Raw genomic sequence first — 17,467 nt, 5'->3', positions numbered from 1 at the left:
TGGCAACAGAATCTATGCACCGCACAAAGTAGCTTTGTCACTGGGAGTGTCCTCACATGTCTCTTGTGCTGTTTCTGGCTTTCTTTGCTCCTCTATCAGTTCTCAGCACATCCTGCTGTGTACAGAGTAATAAATCTTTCTGTCCAGCTAATCAGTAAGCGTGTTGGAAGTGGACGTCTGTCGCATTCACACTGCCAAAAGTGTTGAGTAGGCACTGCTCATGTAGTAAGCAGTGTTTTTATAAATGAATAATACATGAATACTGTGTGAAACTTTGCAAATAACACCCACATGGCAATCAGCATTTTTGCTTTTGTTTTTTGAAGTTGGAAGCAGAGAACTTTCATTTCATTTCCTAAACATAGTGTTCATGGAAGCATTGCCTGTACTCAGGCAAGGTCAGTTTCCACCCTTATGTTCTCTTACCTACCGTTTCTCCATGGCCTGTTTTCAGTGTGTAGCAATTTATACTTTAGTGAGCTCTCCTATGTCTCCTTTACTGTAATGTCCGTAAGAGTAGACACCCTGCCTGTCCCTTTCACAATGACAACCCAGTGCCTAGATGGACTTTTGATGCTCAGCAGTGTTTGGTGCATGATTGATAAGTATTGAATGAAGCACTGGATGAAGGAGCACCAGTCCCATGTGGATTTTCTTTGATCTCACCCTTCTTAGCACCCACAGGCATGAGAACCAGCTAACCAACTGATGATTACAATAACAAAGACACAGCAGACTGGATTATCTGTGCCCTGTTTTTCTTATTCCTAAGGTTTATCTGTAAACTCCCTCTTCAAACATGTCCTCTGTTGTGCAGAATAGGGTCTTCCTCAAAAAAGTAGTCAGGCCGGGCGCGATGGCTCATGCCTGTAATCCCAGCACTTTGGGAGGCCAAGGTGGGTGAGTCACCTGACATTGGGATTTCGAGACCAGCCTGACCAACATGGACAAACACTGTCTCTACTAAAAATACAAAAAATTAGCCAGGTGTGGTGGTGCATGTCTGTAATCCCAGCTACTCAGGAGGCTGAGGCAGGAGATTCTCTTGAACCCGGGAGGCAGAGGTTGCTGTGAGCTGAGATCGTGCCATTGCACTCCAGCCTGGGCAACAAGAGCGAAACTCCATCTCAAAAAAAAAATAAATAGATAAAAAGTAGTCATCTGTGAAAAACAATAACACCCGATAGTTGAATGGCAATTTTAAAACCAGTCCTTTTGAGTAGCATGCAAATTTCGCATCTTTTATCATTTTTAGAGCAAGACAATTGGGGCTGACTAGAACCAGACAACAAAGTCCCTACTGCAGCTGGAGCTTACTCCACTTATGCCTATTCGTAGGCTTAGTAGTTGTGAAAGATGCGTATTGTTTCCTCAAATGGCTTGTTTATCCAAGCATAGTTGCTCACGAAGTTAAAAAAAAAAGTTCAAAGTCTCATATATTGTACTGTGTCTCATGAATCTTGAATGGGAATGGCTTAATCTGGATGGCTTCAAGTGCACAGAGACAAAATTTTCTAGAGTTCATGTAGATAAAACTGTAGTATTCTAAACTACACTCCAAATATTTAAAACAGTAATCATTAGTGATGGCAATTTCAAATATTTTGGTATTTGGGTTTTTTTTCTTCAAATGATATTTGTAAGTTACAAAGTTTCAGGTAGACAGGAGGAAAAAGTTTTTAGATCTATTTCACATCAGGGTGACCATAGTCAACAATAATGTATTGTATATTTCAAAGTAAAAGAATAAATTTCAAACATCTCACCACGCACACACAAATGATAGGTGAGGGAGGTGAGGTCTGTGTTAAATGGCTTGATTTAATCATTCCACGTTGTATACATATATCAAAACCGTGACTTTGTGTCCCATAAATGTATACAGTTATGATTTGTTACTCAAAAATATTTATTTTAAAAAGTGAAATACACCTATAGACTCTATTAAATGATAGAAGGTATCTTAAAATTTCAAAACTGGTATATAACTTTGAATTGTGTTAAATAAGCCAGAATTATAATTCAAAATAACTATGTAGTTATTGTATTTTCATGGCTAAATAGATGTTAGCTGAAAATAATTTATAAGTCTAGGAAATATTAAATAAAAACACTAGGCTATGTTTTGAAAAAAATACGTACACTCTCACACATATGTAGAGTTATACATATAAAATTGTTAATGGGAAGCCTTTATTGATGTAAGTTCTGAACAATTTCAAAATTGGTTTGGCCTTAAATTTACTAATCCAATTCGATATAATATTTTATCTGTAATAAAGCTAATGATTTAATGATTGGACAATAAATGTGTATCTTAATCTTTTTATCTCAGTATTTTTCACCAATACCAAGAGATATTTCAAAATTTCAGCTTTAATCTTAGGAAAATGAGGCCAACATTATCCTAAAGAAATTAACGCAGGAACAGAAACCCAAATACTGCGTGCTTTCAGTTATAAGTGGAAGCTAAACATTGGGTACTCATGGGCATAAAGGTGACGACAGTAGTCCCTGTGGTCTACTGGTGCGGAAGGGAATGGGGCAAAGTTGAAAAACCAACTGTTGGCTACTATGCTCAGTACCTGGGTGAGAGGATTAATTGTACCCCAAACCTCAGCATCAGGCAATATACATATAACAGTTGGGGTTACAGGATGAGTAACAAACCTGCACATGTAGCCACCAATTTGAAAAAAAATTTTGAAATTATAATAGAAAAATAGGGGCCAGCAAAAATCTTTTTAAAAAATCTGAAAATTAATTTCTTCATCTCTGTTATTCTGTTTAATTTCCAGATTTTCACGTTATATTAAAGATCTAAGTCCTTTACAATTTTTTTTATTGTTGGCAGTGTTACCAAGTTCACTGGGGCATTGAAAATATATTCAAAACAGAAAAAGCAAAGTGCCAGTATAGAAGAGAATATGCAAAACTCTAGCTTTTAGCTTTCTCTGGATTTCCCTTCTCAAGTTCATTATTTCATTTTTAGCCAATATTTATAAAACACTAACAGAAGTCATATTTTTCTCCAAATACCATAAAAAATGTATCCATTTATAAAATTCTACAAGATATGCTTGTTTCTGTAATCAAGTCTTTTCTAACCAAAAACTACAAAATTGTTTCATTTTATATTGTTAAATGAGTCTTTTTGTAGATTCCAGGATGGAAATTGGTGGCAGCCTAGCATTTGACTGTTTTTTTCCCCCAAAGCTGTTGTTTTTGGGCAGTTTCACAGAGTTGTGATGTTGGCTCAACTTTCATACAGCCACAGAGTTTCTCTAGGCCGTTCTATTTGGATGGGACAAATTGCAGAAGTGTCATAAATTATTAACTGATGATTTTACTTTTGACCTAGTTTCAATAATCTATGCAAAATTTGGAATATATAAGGTAAACATATAAAAAATGAGATCAAATATGAATTCTAGCCAGAGCTGGCCGTGTATCAGTACTGAAATCCAGGCCAGGCCCACGTCCAGCTGAGTCTCTTCTCTGCAGCATGCTCCTGAGAAGACTTATTGTCCTAGCATTTGAGTCCTTAACAAATCTCATGGACTATACCAATGCACTTGATAACACTGAATTCTAGTTCTATTCAGTGGCTGACTCATCAATGCAGGCAGTAGCCTGCGCAAATGACAAACATTAGAAACTTAAAGTGAATGTCCATAAAGAAAGGTATGAAAATCTACTATATTATGTAGTTTTGCAATACCCTTCAAGATTAAGTGGATTAAGATGTCTTTTTCTGGAATTTGGATTATCAGTACCTTTCTTCAATGAGAAGGTAATTCCTGTCTTTGCCTCTCTTCCAACGTGAACAACTTCTGTCAACCCTGTATCCAGAACATATCCTAAATTCCCCCCGAGCCTACAAAGCTCATGATTTGGCATCTCCTTACAGCTCTAACCTCACCTCTAGTCTGCAGATCCACATTGGCCTCATTTGGTTCCATTGCCCTACCTTAGGGAACATTTATTCTTTTATTTGCCTGGAATTTGCTTCCTCTAGATCTTCACTTGGCTGCTTCTTCTTGACTTTAATGTTAATCCCTCTCAGGGGCACATAATATTGTTATACTGTCATAGAAATAGGAAAGATCAAAAGAGGTTACATTTACAAAGGCTGATAAAATTGTGTTTGGCGGCATACCTTTCGGAGCAGGGTAGAGGGGAACTTCAAGTTAGTTGGGGTTACAGGATAAGTACGTTCCAATAATAGCTTTGCTTTTAGGGTTAAATTAAATTTATTGTATTACTATTTCTAAGTGCTGGCTGCTTGGGGAGGAAGGATGAGTTGCAGTCGTTATCAAATGACATGCTTATGATAGTCTCATTCTTTCTTTGAAAGGTGTGCATTGACAAGCCATCATTGTTCTATCATAAGCCATTCTACTTTCTTTTACTCAACTGGCTCATCAGGCACTTTAAAGCAGAACAGAAATTCAGACAATGGTTTTGTGTTTTTTATTTAAATGCTTTTCTGAGGATAAAAGGAGAGGTATCATGAGAAATAGGACTCTCCTCCCTTACCCTTGAGAAATGTTATAAATAAGGGCGTTTTTTATGATCAGGAGAAAAAGGATGTGCCACACCAACTATATTGATGAAGTCATTTCTTCATTATGTTAATTATATTATCTAAATTTGAATACACCTTCCCCTTTGTCATATCTTTACTATGAGTCCTAGTGTTGCTTCAGGGTTCTCTTGGTGTTAGTTTAGTTATTTAAGAAATAATTATTGGGCATATATGTGGTGGGCCCTGTGGTAGGTTTGGAGGACAGATATACATTGTGTGCACCCATGGAACTCTCATTCCATTAGAAGAAATGAACAGCAAATGTGTAATTACACAAATCACTGAGTCATTGCAGTTGGACAAGTGCTCTAGAGGATGCACCGCATCCTGAGACTGCAAGAGGTGTCCTGACCTACACTACAGAGGCTTAGAATGTGCCTCCCTAAGGAGTTACATTGAAGCTGAATCCTGAAGAATGGGGGACAATTAGCCACAGAGGAGGGGAGAAAAGAGTAAACTGTATGCTTAGAGCCTTCGGAGGATTTTGACACAAATGTGATGGATCAGATTGTGCTTAGGTGAGATCACTATGGCCACTCTGGAGAGAATGGACTAGAAAGGAGAAAAAATGAAAACAGAACAGTTAGGAGGGAATTACAGTTGCCCATGAAAGAGATAGTCACAGCTTGGATAATGTATTGCGAATGGAAAGAGTAGATATATTTTTGAGTTATAATTAAATCTTATGGAAGTACTATAGAGGACTGGCAGACTTCTAATTAATAGCATATCTGTGGTTTTCATCATTTAGTATTTAGGCTCTATGTAAAGGAAAATGTATATAAAGAAGTCTTTGGTATGAATTACTAGGTTAAAGGAACATTTAGAAATATGCTTATACTTATAGAGTAATCAAAAAATTCATGATGCAGTTGTGAAATGTGTAGAAACAAAATCAATGTAAACCTGAAGAGAAAAATGTCATTTTCATCTGTCGTTATGGCAAACATATCTTGATGTGCTAGATGTAGCAAAATGATTGTTTAAAGGAAAAAAATCAATTTCAGGTATACGTCCATGAATGAAAAAAATTTTTGCAACTTTTGGTAAGAGGGTTTATGTGAAGTGAAGTCTTTCTAGATACTTTCTCTTTCTAAATTAAGGGATTAATGAAAAGACTCCTTTAAGCCATGAGTTTCTTATTTAATGTATTTCACATAAGATTATTATACTTGGAAATATTTCAAAATGAAAATAACTTTTCAAACTTGAAGAGTAACTGAGTTGTATTTCTGGAAAAATATTTAAAACTTTACTTGTATTTTAAAGAGAAAAAAACTATATTATAGTCCTTGGAACTTATGTGGACAGAAAACTGACTGCCATTTATTCATAGCTCCAAACCTAGACACAAGAACTCATTGGAAAATCATAACGGGTTAAGCAAGCAAAACTATATACTTTTAAAAATAGACTTTGTTTTTAGAGAAGTTTTAGATTTACAGAAAAGTTGTATAGAAAGTACAAAGTTCCCATATAATCCCTTCCTTTCTGCACACAATTTCTCCCATTATTAGTATCTTGCATTAGTAAGGTACGTTTGTTACAATTGATGAGCTAATATTAATACATAAATATTCACTAAAGTTCATAGTTACATTAGAGTTCTCTTTGTGTTCTATACCCTGTGGATTTTGACGAGTGTATAATGTCATGCATCTACCATCGTATTATCATACAGAATAGTTTCAAAGTTTCAATGCTCTAAAGTTTTCTTGTACTTCAACCATTTATCCTTTCCCCTGAACCTTCTGAACCCCTGGCAACCACTGATCAATTCATTGTATCTATAGTTTTGCCTTTTCCAGAACATCATATAGTTGAAATTATATACCATGTAGCTTATTAAGACTTCCTTCTTCCACTTCATAATATGTATTTCAACTTCCTCCATGTCTTTTAGTAGCTTGATAGCTCTTTTTTTCACATTACTGAATAATATCTCCTTGCATGAATATATCACAGTTTGTTTATTCCTTCATCTATTAAAGGATATCTTGGTTGCTTGTAGCTTTCGTGTGCAGGTTTTTGTGTGGACATAAGCTTGTAACTCACTTGAGTAAATACCTAGGAGTATGATTGCTGTATGTTATCACAAGCCTTTGATAAGGTTTGCATAAAACTGCTAGGCTGTCTTCTAAAGTGACTGTACCATTTTATATTCCCATCAACAATGTATGGGAGCGCCTGTTGCTTCTAAGGTCTGTGTCTAGATTCATTTTTTCCATGTGGAGGTCCAGTCTATCTTTTCTCCATTGAATTGCCTTTGCTTCCTTGTCAAAAATCAGTTGATTGTATTTGTGTGGGTAAGTTTCTGGGCTCTCTATTCTGTTCTATTGATGTATTGTGTATTCATTCATGAATACTGTACTGTCTTAATCATTGTAGTTTCACAGTACGTTTTTAGTCGGATAGTGTCAGTCCTCTGACTTCCTTCTTCTTTAATATTTTGTTGACCGTTCTGGTTCTTTTGTCTTTCCATATAAACTTAGGAATTGGTTGTTTATATCTGTATAGTAATTTTCTAGGATTTTGATTGGGATTGCATTGAATCTGTTGATTGAGCTGGGGAAACTGGCATCTTAAGAATGTTGAGTCCCTCTTAATATGTCTTCAGTTTATTTAGACCTTCTTTGATTTTTCTCATCAGAGCTTTGTAGTTTCAATGCTCACTTCTTAGATGACCTGTTGGTTGTGCAAGTTAAAATTTCTAAACCCAAATATGATATAGTTTTATTAAGACTTATACTTTTAAGCTACAACTGTTCTTATATAATAGTCTCCAGTAATCAAAACAGAAAGAAAATAAAAAGTTGCAACATCTGGGAAGGACCTAATGAAATAAAAATAAAAATCACATCAACAACAATTGGAAATTACCAAGAAAAAATATTATTCCATTATCTTTATATGTATAATACATACTCATTGGTAACAAGCAGGCCCTAGTTATAAAGCATTCATTTTATGGAGATGATGTTCATCAAAATTGAAATTCTTATTTCTGATGGTATTCTTAGATGTTTACAGCATTCATTATCGTACAAATCAGAAAAGAACATAAAAAAGTAATTATCATTTTTAAGAGTTTTTACAGTGAGACAGATGAACTTTGAATATGATTAAATACAAAATAATAAAACATTGATGACAACATCATTCAAAAATATCTCCAGTAAAGAAATCCAGTGAGTAAAAGGTCTTCTGGGTAAATTTATTTGATTTAATTTAATCTGTCAATGACTTTATGTGACGCTTTGCATGTTGCAAAGAGAATATGAAATAGCTTATATGAATGAGTAAACCATTCTACTATAAAGACACATGCACACGTATGTTTATTGCAGCACTATCTACAATGGCAAAGACTTGGAACCAATCCAAATGCCCGTCAATGACTGGCTGGATAAAGGAAATGTGGCGCACCTACACCATGGAATACTATGCAGCCTTAAGAAAGAATGAGTTCGTGTCCTTTGCGGGGACATGGATGAAGCTGGAAACCATCACCCTCAGCAAGCTAACACAGGAACAGAAAACCAAACACTACATGTTCTCACTCATAAGTGGAAGTTGAACAATGAGAACACATAGACACAGAGAGGGAAACAACACACACTGGGCCTTGTCGGGGTGTGAGGGGCAAGGGGAGGGAGAGGATTAGGACAAATACCTAATGCATGCAAGGCTTAAGATGACGGGTTGATAGGTGCAGCAAGCCACCATGGCACAACGTATACCTATATAACAAACCTGCACATTCTGCACATGTATCCCGGAACTTAAAATAAATTTTAAAAAATAATATTGCCTAACATATTTTCAGTAAATATTTGAAATTGAATAAATGAGTGGATTCTAGAACGACTGAATTATCAAATAAATAGAGATAAAAGAAAAGTAATGACAGAGTTTTAAGATGAAACCAATTAGAGCACGGAAATACAAAAATTGGTAACATAAATTTTTGAAATTTTATCACCAAAAACAAGGAGGGAAAGATAATCAGATGCCAATGTCCTTTTGATTTAAATTTGTTATAGAATTTTTTCTTAAAACAATAAAATTAAATTGACAATTTAATGGGTTTGTTTTGTTTTTGTTTTTGTTTTGAGACAGGGTCTCACTCTGTCTCCTAGGCTGGAGTGCAGTGGCACGATCTCTGCTCATTGCAACCTCTGCCTCCCAGGGTTCAAGTAATTCTCGTGCCTCAGACTTCCAAATAGCTGGGATTACAGGTGCACACCACCACACCTGGCTAATTTTTGTATTTTTAATAGAGACAGAGTTTCACCATTTGACCAGGCTGATCTCAAACTCCTGACCTCAGGCGATCCACCTACCTCAGCCTCCCAAATTGCTGAGATTACAGGCATGAGCCACCACGCCCAGCTGACAATTTAATTTAAAATATTATTTAACAACCCACATTACTTTCTTTAGTCAAATTTTCAATAAGATAACTTTGCATAGAAATAGCCCAGATCTCACAGCAACAATACAGAAAATGGATGATACTAATCATACTCTGCTTTTCATCTAACTGAATTTATAAATTTGCATTTATACACACAATATTAATGTACTAAGAATTGAAAAGGCAAGTTTCTGTAGAAAATGTTTTAGTTCTTAATATTTCAGTACTTAAAATCTATGTATAAAATATTAAGACACTTCAAAGAGAAAATTAACACTTTAAATACAAATTTTGGGGGATCAATATCTTGGAACGTTTAAAGGAGCGTTCACTGGGCAAAAGCTGGAAACATTCTTCTTGAAAACTGGCACAAGACAAGGATGCTCTGTCTCACCACTCCTATTCAACATAGTATTGGAAGTCCTGGCCAGAACAATCAGACAAGAGAAATAAAGGGCATCCAGATAGGAAGAGAAGAAGCCAAACTATCTCTGTTTGCCGATGAAATGGTTCTATATGTAGAAAACTTCATACTTTTGACCCAAAAGCTCTTTAAGCTGATAAACAATTTCAGCAAAATTTCAGGATGCAAAATCAACGTACAAAAATCACTAACATTTTATATACCAACAACAGTCAAGCCAAGAGCCAAATCAGGAACACAATCTCATTTACAATTGCCACCAAAGAAAGACAATACCTAGCTAATCAGCGAGGTGTGAGTGATACAATGAGAAATACAAGACACTGGTGAAAGAAATCAGAAGACACAAACAAATGGAAAAACATCCCATGCTTGTGGATAGGAAGAATCAATATCATTAAAATGGCCATACTGACCAAAGCAATTTACAGATTCAATACTATTCCTATTAAACTACCAATGACATTCTTCACAGAAACTATTTTAAAATCCATGTTGACCAAAAAAGACCCTGAGTAGCCAAGGCAATCCTAAGCAAAAAGAACAAAGCTGGACGCATCACATTACCTGACTTCAAATGGTACACAGGGCTACAGTAACCAAAACAGTATGGTACTGGTACAAAAAAAGACACATAGACCAATGGAATAGAATAGACAGCCCAGAAATAAGACCACACATCTATAACCATCTGATCTTTGACAAAGATGATAAAAACAAACAATGGGGAAAAGATTACTTATTTAACAAATGGCGTTGGGATAACTGGTTAGCCATATGCAGAAGATTGAATATTGACCCCTTCCTCACACCATGTACAAAAATCAATGAAAGACAGGTTAAAGACTTAAATGTAAAAGCCAAAACTATAAAAACCATGGAAGACAACCTAGCAATACCATTCTGGATATAGGAACTAGCAGAGATTGATGACAAAGATGCTAAAAGCAATCTCAACAAAAGCAGAAGTTGACAAATGAGATCTAATTAAACTTAACAGCTTCTGCACTGCAAAAGAAACTGTCAAAAGAGTAAACAGACAACCTACAGAATGGGAGAAAATATTTGGAAACTATGCATCCGAAAAAGGTCTAAAATCCAGCATCTATACGGAACTTAAACAAATTTACAAGAAAAAACACCACCATTAAAAAGTGGGCAAGTGACAGGAACAGACACTTTTCAAAAGAGGACATACATGAGGCCAATAAGCAGATGAAAAAAACTCAATATCACTGATCATTAAAGAAATGCAAATCAAAACCATAAAGAGATACTATCTCACACTGGTCAGAATGGCTATTATTAAAAAGTCAAAAAACAAATGCTGGCGAGGTTGCAGAGAAAAGGGAATGCTAATACACTGTTGCTGGGAGTGTAAACTAGTTCAATCATTGTGAAAAGCAGTGTGATGATTCCTTAAAGAGCTAAAAACAGAACTACCATTTGTTCCAGCAATCCCATTGCTAGTGTATACCCAATGGAATACAAATCGTTCTACCATAAAGACCCACGCATGCAAACGTTCATTGCAGCACTATTCACAATTGCAAAGACATGAAATCAACCTAAATGTCCCTCAATGGCATTCAACCTAAATGAAATCAACCTAAATGTCCATCAAATGTCCAAAATGTGGTACATGTACACCATGGAATACTATGCAGCTATAAAAAAGAAAGAAATCAAGTCCTTTACAGGAACATGGATGGAGCCAAAGGCCATTAGCAAACTAACACAGGATCAGAAAATGAAATACCTCATGTTCTCACTTATAAGTGGGAGCTAAACGATGAAAACACATGGATAAATACAGAGGCGAATGAAAGACACTGGGGCCTACTTGGGAGTCGAGGGTTGGAGGAGAGAGAGGATCAGAAACAATAACTATTGGGTACCTGGGTGGTGAAATAATCTGTACAACAAACCCCCATGACGCAAGTTTACCTACGTAAGAAACCTGCACGTGGACCCCTGAACCTGAAATAAAAGTTAAAAAAAAAAAACCTCAAATACTTCATGAAAATCTTGTTTAAAATAGAAACCAAATTTTATTCTTGTCTTATTGTATTTAATATTAAAGCTAATTTTAAAAATAAAATATTAGAAAAAAGGAGCATTCACTCACACCTTTTGCAAATTTACTAAATATTAAGGTAAATAGTATTTAACAGACACTGTCGAGGGCCCTGGGAATAAAAAGATGAATGAGGAAAAGATAACTAGGAAAGTATCCAGTCTAGTGGGAAGACAGGGATGTGTGCAGATCATTAAAATCAACTGCATTAAGTGATCTCTAACGTATTAAAGTGTTCATAGAACATCAAAGGAGTCAGGGAGTAGTTGGAAGAAGAGAAAGAATCTCTGAGTGACAGTGCAGGACACTAGGTGCATATAGTTCAGGCCTCAGAATATAAATGGCTTTTGCAGGGTGCTTAGAATGGAAGAAACATTCCTTCATCCATCAGAGATGTGTATGCGGTAACTTGCACAAGTATCAGGGGATCCCAGAACTTTAGTTTAGTATGGCAAAATAAGTAGATTGCACTCCTAAAAAATAAAAATAAAAACTCATTGATTTCCCTTTTATCTTAAAAGAAGGAAAGGCAGGGTGATGTTGGCTTTTTATCCAAGTAGTAGGATCCTGGGTAGTGTGTTTACTCTCTATATAGGCTTATCGGTGATTAGAAATACCATTGAACGAAATCGGCATGTCTGTGAGGGTTATGTACGATACCGATTTATTGAATAGATTTAAAATAATGACCCAGTGTTTACACTGAGGGATTTTTCTTCTCTGAGTTAACTAAAATTATGGTCTACCAAAGCCCACTAGGAGAATTCTTGACTGTTGAGACTATGTATTTTAATGCAGCATTAGCCAGGAAAGACCTAGTTATCTGGTCAACCAACAAAATGATCTTTATCTCCATGTTAATAAATGTAAATAATTATTCTACCATTTGGTAATGTCAGGATGGCTATGGCTTTTCGTCCCAAGGGGTTTTGGTTCCAGTGCCAAATGTAGCTCTATAAACTGTGCAGAAGCAAATTTAGGTCACGATCAATACAAGCAATTAAGCCTTTGCAAAAGTGGCTAAGCCTTTGAATTCATTTAATTATGTTAGACCCAATGTAGGAAAAGAAAATGTTTCCTTTTTTCTTAAAGTTTATCCAGAATTTTTTCAAATATTTAACGCTCTTCTTTCTGCAGTACAGATTTGCTTTGCGTAAACTGGCTCTATTAATCTAAAAATAGACTGCTTGTAGAATATTATTAACTTTCCTGCGTGGGCATTATGCACATTCTGTACCATCACTCTCTGCAACAAGATGAGAAAATACCCTCGGGTCTGTCTTTTTACTGGGAAAGCTTTCTGGAAAAATAAAATGAAAAGGCTACTTAGGCCATATTTGATGTGAAGGAAAAGTACAGTATTTTCAGATGTTAGTTTTAGACCAAGAGGGAGAATTAATTTATAGGTATGACTAATGCTCAGTCTTGTTAAAGAAATGATTGTGCATGAAACCCAGGTAAAGATTATCTGACGTCTTCCAAGGAAACCTACATGGCAATTAATTCTTCGTAGCTTCTAGCAGAAAGGTTGGAATCCATGACTCTTCCCTTTCCAGAGGAAAGAGGAAATGGATGACTCAAAGGAGCCACATAATTTAAAAAAGAAAAGGAAAATGTACAAAGGTCAAGAAACAAGGTCAAAAGTTTAAGAAAGTTAAATTATAGTGCAAAAGGTAATTTTGTCAATAAAGTGGCTTGTACCTTCAAATAATTTTTTGATTTTTTGAAATGCCTACTTTTGATAGACATATATAGAGAGAAATAATATACAATGAAATGTTCCCTTTAGTCTGCTTCTTCTCATGTAATCTATGAAATCCTGGTATATCTCTCTTCTTTCTAAATATTTCTTATTTCTTCAGTTAGCCTCTCACATTGTCAGTTAAGTCATTTTATTTTGCACTAGAGTTAAACTCGTCTATTTTTCTTAAATCTCAATTAGGGAAAATGGTTTGCCTGGTAGTCATCAAGCTATGCACAAAAAGGACTGACAGTTTTCAGTATGACTTGTATATTTAATTTTCTTGCATATTCAAAATGCCAAGAATTTGATTTAATGTATTTTCTTCCTAAAAAGCTGTTTTGTTCACATATTTTTTCTTTTGGTTTCTGATGGTCTGTTTTGGTAGCTCATGTTTCTGTAACCATCAGTCATTGGCCTACCTTTGAAATAATAGGGACATGTTTATAATTGCCATTTTAAGGAGCCCAGCTATGATTACCCTTATCTGAAATGTGTTCCTTCCTTGTTCACAATCTCCTGCAAACATTGTTTTCTTCCTCTCTACCCTTATGAAGTGAATTCGGTGTTATCAACTATTGACAGACAACAGCTTCATTAAGGGCAGCACATTATTATTTCACTTGATTCTACCTGTCCATGGTCCAGCATTTCTAAAACCCAACTATCCTTTGTAGGTGCTAGTGTGGTGGCAACATTTAATAACCAGTGTAGGGGAAGAAGAATAATTATTATCTCAACCCTGATAAGTTTTAAGTTGGAATGGACCCCATAGCAAAAGACACTTTAAAAAGAGAAAAACAAACAGAAGTTTATTAATATGTTTATTTAATACACGCATGGAAGATACCTAGGGAATGAGTAATTTTCAAAGAGGTGGCTTGAATTCCAACTTATGTGGGATCTTCTACAAAGAACAGTCAATGCTTAGAGAAGTGACAAGACAAAAAAAATAAAAAATAAAAAGACTTTGTATCTCTAGGGGCCACAAGGTGGGGGAAGGAAAATAACTGGCAGAGAAAGGCTGGTTTGCAAAGCTTGCTAACGTAGTTTCCTCTGGTGCCATCTTCCGGCCCGTAAGGGTGAAAAACTCTCTTCAGTGGTTAACCTTTGTTCTTTCAGAGAGGGGAGGTGAAATAGCTTTTGTCTTTGTAAATTTACATCCCAATTTTAGGCAAATAGAGAGAGGGCAAAGAGCCTTCCTGCTTCTGCTTGTTCTTAATTCCTTCAGCCCAATCAGACTTCTGCCAAAGAGGCACATTTGGGTGTAGCGTATTCTGGTTTCCCATACCTGCTGTCAGAAAAAAGGTTGGTAATATTTGCCAGTTTCTGCAGTGCATGCACTTTTTCCACGGCTAGCTTCAAGCTACCAGCAAGTCTTTCCCGACTCCTGCTTTGGAAAGATGGGTATGGTCTCCCTAGCCAGTCCCCACCATGCCAACTGAAAAATAGGCTGGAGCAGGGGGATCTGCAAATCGCTATCATCTTCTCTTTAATTGAGTGCACTTAGTGCTACAGATTGGAATACATATGTTGCTACTGGTGTTTCTTCTAATGGAAGAAAACAGCTCCCATATTTATTAGTAGTACTGCTATTACTTTCTCAGTAAGGGCTCCCCTAATTTCTTTTTTTGGAGCAAACAAAACATTATCTACCGAAAGCTGTAGATGTGTTTGTTGATGAGTACCATACATAAATACAGCCCATGTGAGAAGTGAGAATGTCAAAATACCAGACACTTTAAAAAAAAAAGAAGAAATCCAAAGACACTTAAAGGAACAATAAAGGAAAGAAATTAAAGGTTGATTGTCGTCCAGATATAGTGGTACTTACTTGAAAATGTGTCCTTGAAAGTCTATTAAAAGATCAGACACAGGAGCTTTCGGTTTTGTTACGAATAAGAGTGTTTTCAACCAAGATAGTAGTGCTTCTCCTTGTTCACAGAGGTATTGACTCCTATCACGGGTAGCTCCTGCTGCATTTTCTCCTTTATACTGCCGCAGTATATATTTCAACCACCTGTGAAATTAAAAAATGTCCCTGTAGCAGTTGGATTCGGTTTGTTAGTCCATGTCTTATCAAAAACTGTTTAAATGTATCTCTGGTGACATTTCAATGATAATTAAAAGCAAGATTCCAAGTTTCAGGAGGGAAGCATATTTTCAGTTACATCTTAACTCATCCAGTGTAACTCTGCCAAGAAATGAGTTCATCACATGAAATAACAGGAGTCTAATTCTTCCCATAATCTTTCATTTTAACATTTCATTTATAAACAACCAAGATGAGAAGATGGATGTGATCAAAGGACTCTATTTTATAAAAGAGATGTGAAAAATCCTAGACGTAAATCACCTTACTAAGTTAGGTCAAATAGTCAAGAAAATGTGAGACACTCTTATCTAACTTGGGCACTAAAAGAATATTATTTTATTTTTGCTCAAACCCATCAGTATCTCTGTCCATTAGTAGAAGTCCTTGGTGCCTGGACCTCTGAGCAGCTTCCTGACTGATCCCTCTGTCTCCAGCCTGGCCTTCTTTCTAGACTTCACTGGACACCCTTGTAGTTGTCATCTTCCACAAGCAGAGCTCTGAACATTTGACTTCCCAGCAAATCTTTACTGAAAGCCAGTTTCTCCATTACTTCCTCCTGGTTAGAAGTGATTTTCCCTACCTCTGAGCATATGATAAAATTTTGTAAACCTTCCCCATCTAAAGAATATTATATGTGTGTGAGAAACGGAACACAAATGATAGAGCAAAGTGGTGAAATGTTAATACTAGGTGAGCCTGGGTGAAAGTTGTATGCATATTCTTTGTACTAGTATTGAAACTTTTTGTATTTAATATTTATTTCAAACTACTTTTTAAAAACCTTCAACATCAGATCCCAGTTTATTAAACTCAATAATAATTCTCCCATCGGTGCCACCTGCTCCAGTTACCCCAGGTGATGATGGTATTGGCTCTAAATTAAGCCTTGCAAGATGTGCAGTTCCTGATAGAGCAACACAAAGGGCAATGTCAAATGTGTGGAATTTTGGGAAAGTGTAATGTCTTTGGGGTGACTGGCCACCTCTCCCATTTTGTTTGGGACTGAGTAAAAGTAGTAAAGTCCCAGACAAACCCAGATGAGTTAGTCACCCTCCTTTGTGGGACTCTGCTGGATGAGTGTAACTGAAGCCAAACACTAGTGTCAGGAGTGCTGGGGAACAATCCAAACAAGAACACCTCTGTTTCATTCTGTGTGAAGTAGGAAACCTGATAAGCCCTTTCAACTACAAAGGGAGAGAGTCGTATTATGAAAAGTGTAAGTTGTGTTCAAAGAAAATTCATCTTTGATGCACGCATGATTGTGAAGAGAGGGAGATCACGAGGGAGATCCATGTTGCTGTGTTATTTGAGGATTTCCATTGCCTGTCAGTAAAGTCCAAATTCCTTAGCTCAGAATAGAAGACTTATTTATAAGGACTACCATGTATCCAGGGCAATATAAATGACTTTCACTCACCCCAAAACAACTGATAAAGTTCATGCCATTATGCCCAATTTGAAAAATACAGACACTGAAGATCAGAGAGGTAAAGTGCCTTCCCCAAGGGACGCAGCCGAGATTTAATGGCTCGATAAGTGTTGAGTGAGGTTACTGGGAGAAGATTTCAAGTTGCCAGAAGTTTTGATTCTAGGATTCATGTACTTAAAATAGAAGAAAGAGCTTTCTTTTCATTTTATTACAAATAAACTTATTGAGACACTAAAGCACATAGGATATGTGTGAGGCTTTAAGAGGCTACAATTTGGGCCTAAATGTGAGAGTCTAGGATAACATACTTCTCATAACCAGCTGTGTGACCTTGAATAAGTTACTCTGTGTCTCAGTTTCCTCATCTCATAGAATGATGATAGTATGTCTTATAATTAATGTAAGACACTTATCACAGTGCGTGGTACTCAATAGGCACTGAATCAATAAGAACAATAATAACAAAAGGCATCATGACTATTTTAATGTTGAAAGGAAATGGTCTTAAGTTAGGAACTTAAATGTAAGCAGAAACTAGCTCTATTTTATTGAATAGGGAGCATTTCTGCCTATGAGCATCATTAGGGCCTTTACTTTTGACAGCTGTTACAGTTGCCGGTGTCATTTAGCAGAATGCAGGGCACCCTCAGATGATTCCTATGAACAATGGTGACTTTCACTTATCACGTGGTGACA

The 17,467-nt window shown here is 36.2% G+C and overlaps 1 protein-coding gene and 1 long non-coding RNA gene across 12 annotated transcripts in view, besides 2 other annotated features; one reads left to right on the top strand and one right to left on the bottom strand.

Annotated features, from left to right (window-relative positions):
- Nucleotides 1-17,467, top strand: part of DLGAP1 (DLG associated protein 1) — a 959,276-nt gene that overhangs the window by 258,610 nt on the left and 683,199 nt on the right. The gene's annotated exons all lie outside the window — the stretch shown is intronic.
- Nucleotides 452-953: an enhancer, noted in NCBI's record as "NANOG hESC enhancer chr18:4195745-4196246 (GRCh37/hg19 assembly coordinates)". NCBI's record gives its function as "activates a minimal SCP1, AML or CMV promoter by ChIP-STARR-seq in primed H9 embryonic stem cells {active_cell/tissue: H9 hESC(primed)}" and the evidence as "EXISTENCE:reporter gene assay evidence [ECO:0000049][PMID:30033119]".
- LOC124904239 (uncharacterized) lies at nucleotides 2,729-15,538 on the bottom strand. Its single transcript, XR_007066271.1, has 2 exons — nucleotides 15,082-15,538; nucleotides 2,729-14,541 (listed from the first exon to the last, which is right to left on the bottom strand). It is a non-coding gene; the product is annotated as an uncharacterized LOC124904239 (long non-coding RNA).
- Nucleotides 14,175-14,469: an enhancer, noted in NCBI's record as "tiled region #11006; HepG2 Activating DNase matched - State 8:EnhW". NCBI's record gives its function as "activates a minimal TATA promoter and a strong SV40 promoter by Sharpr-MPRA in HepG2 cells {active_cell/tissue: HepG2}" and the evidence as "EXISTENCE:reporter gene assay evidence [ECO:0000049][PMID:27701403]".

This window comes from Homo sapiens, chromosome 18 (assembly GCF_000001405.40).
Source record: "Homo sapiens chromosome 18, GRCh38.p14 Primary Assembly".
NCBI classification, from domain to species: Eukaryota; Metazoa; Chordata; class Mammalia; order Primates; family Hominidae; genus Homo; species Homo sapiens.
This window is presented reverse-complemented; position numbering and strand designations above follow the sequence as displayed.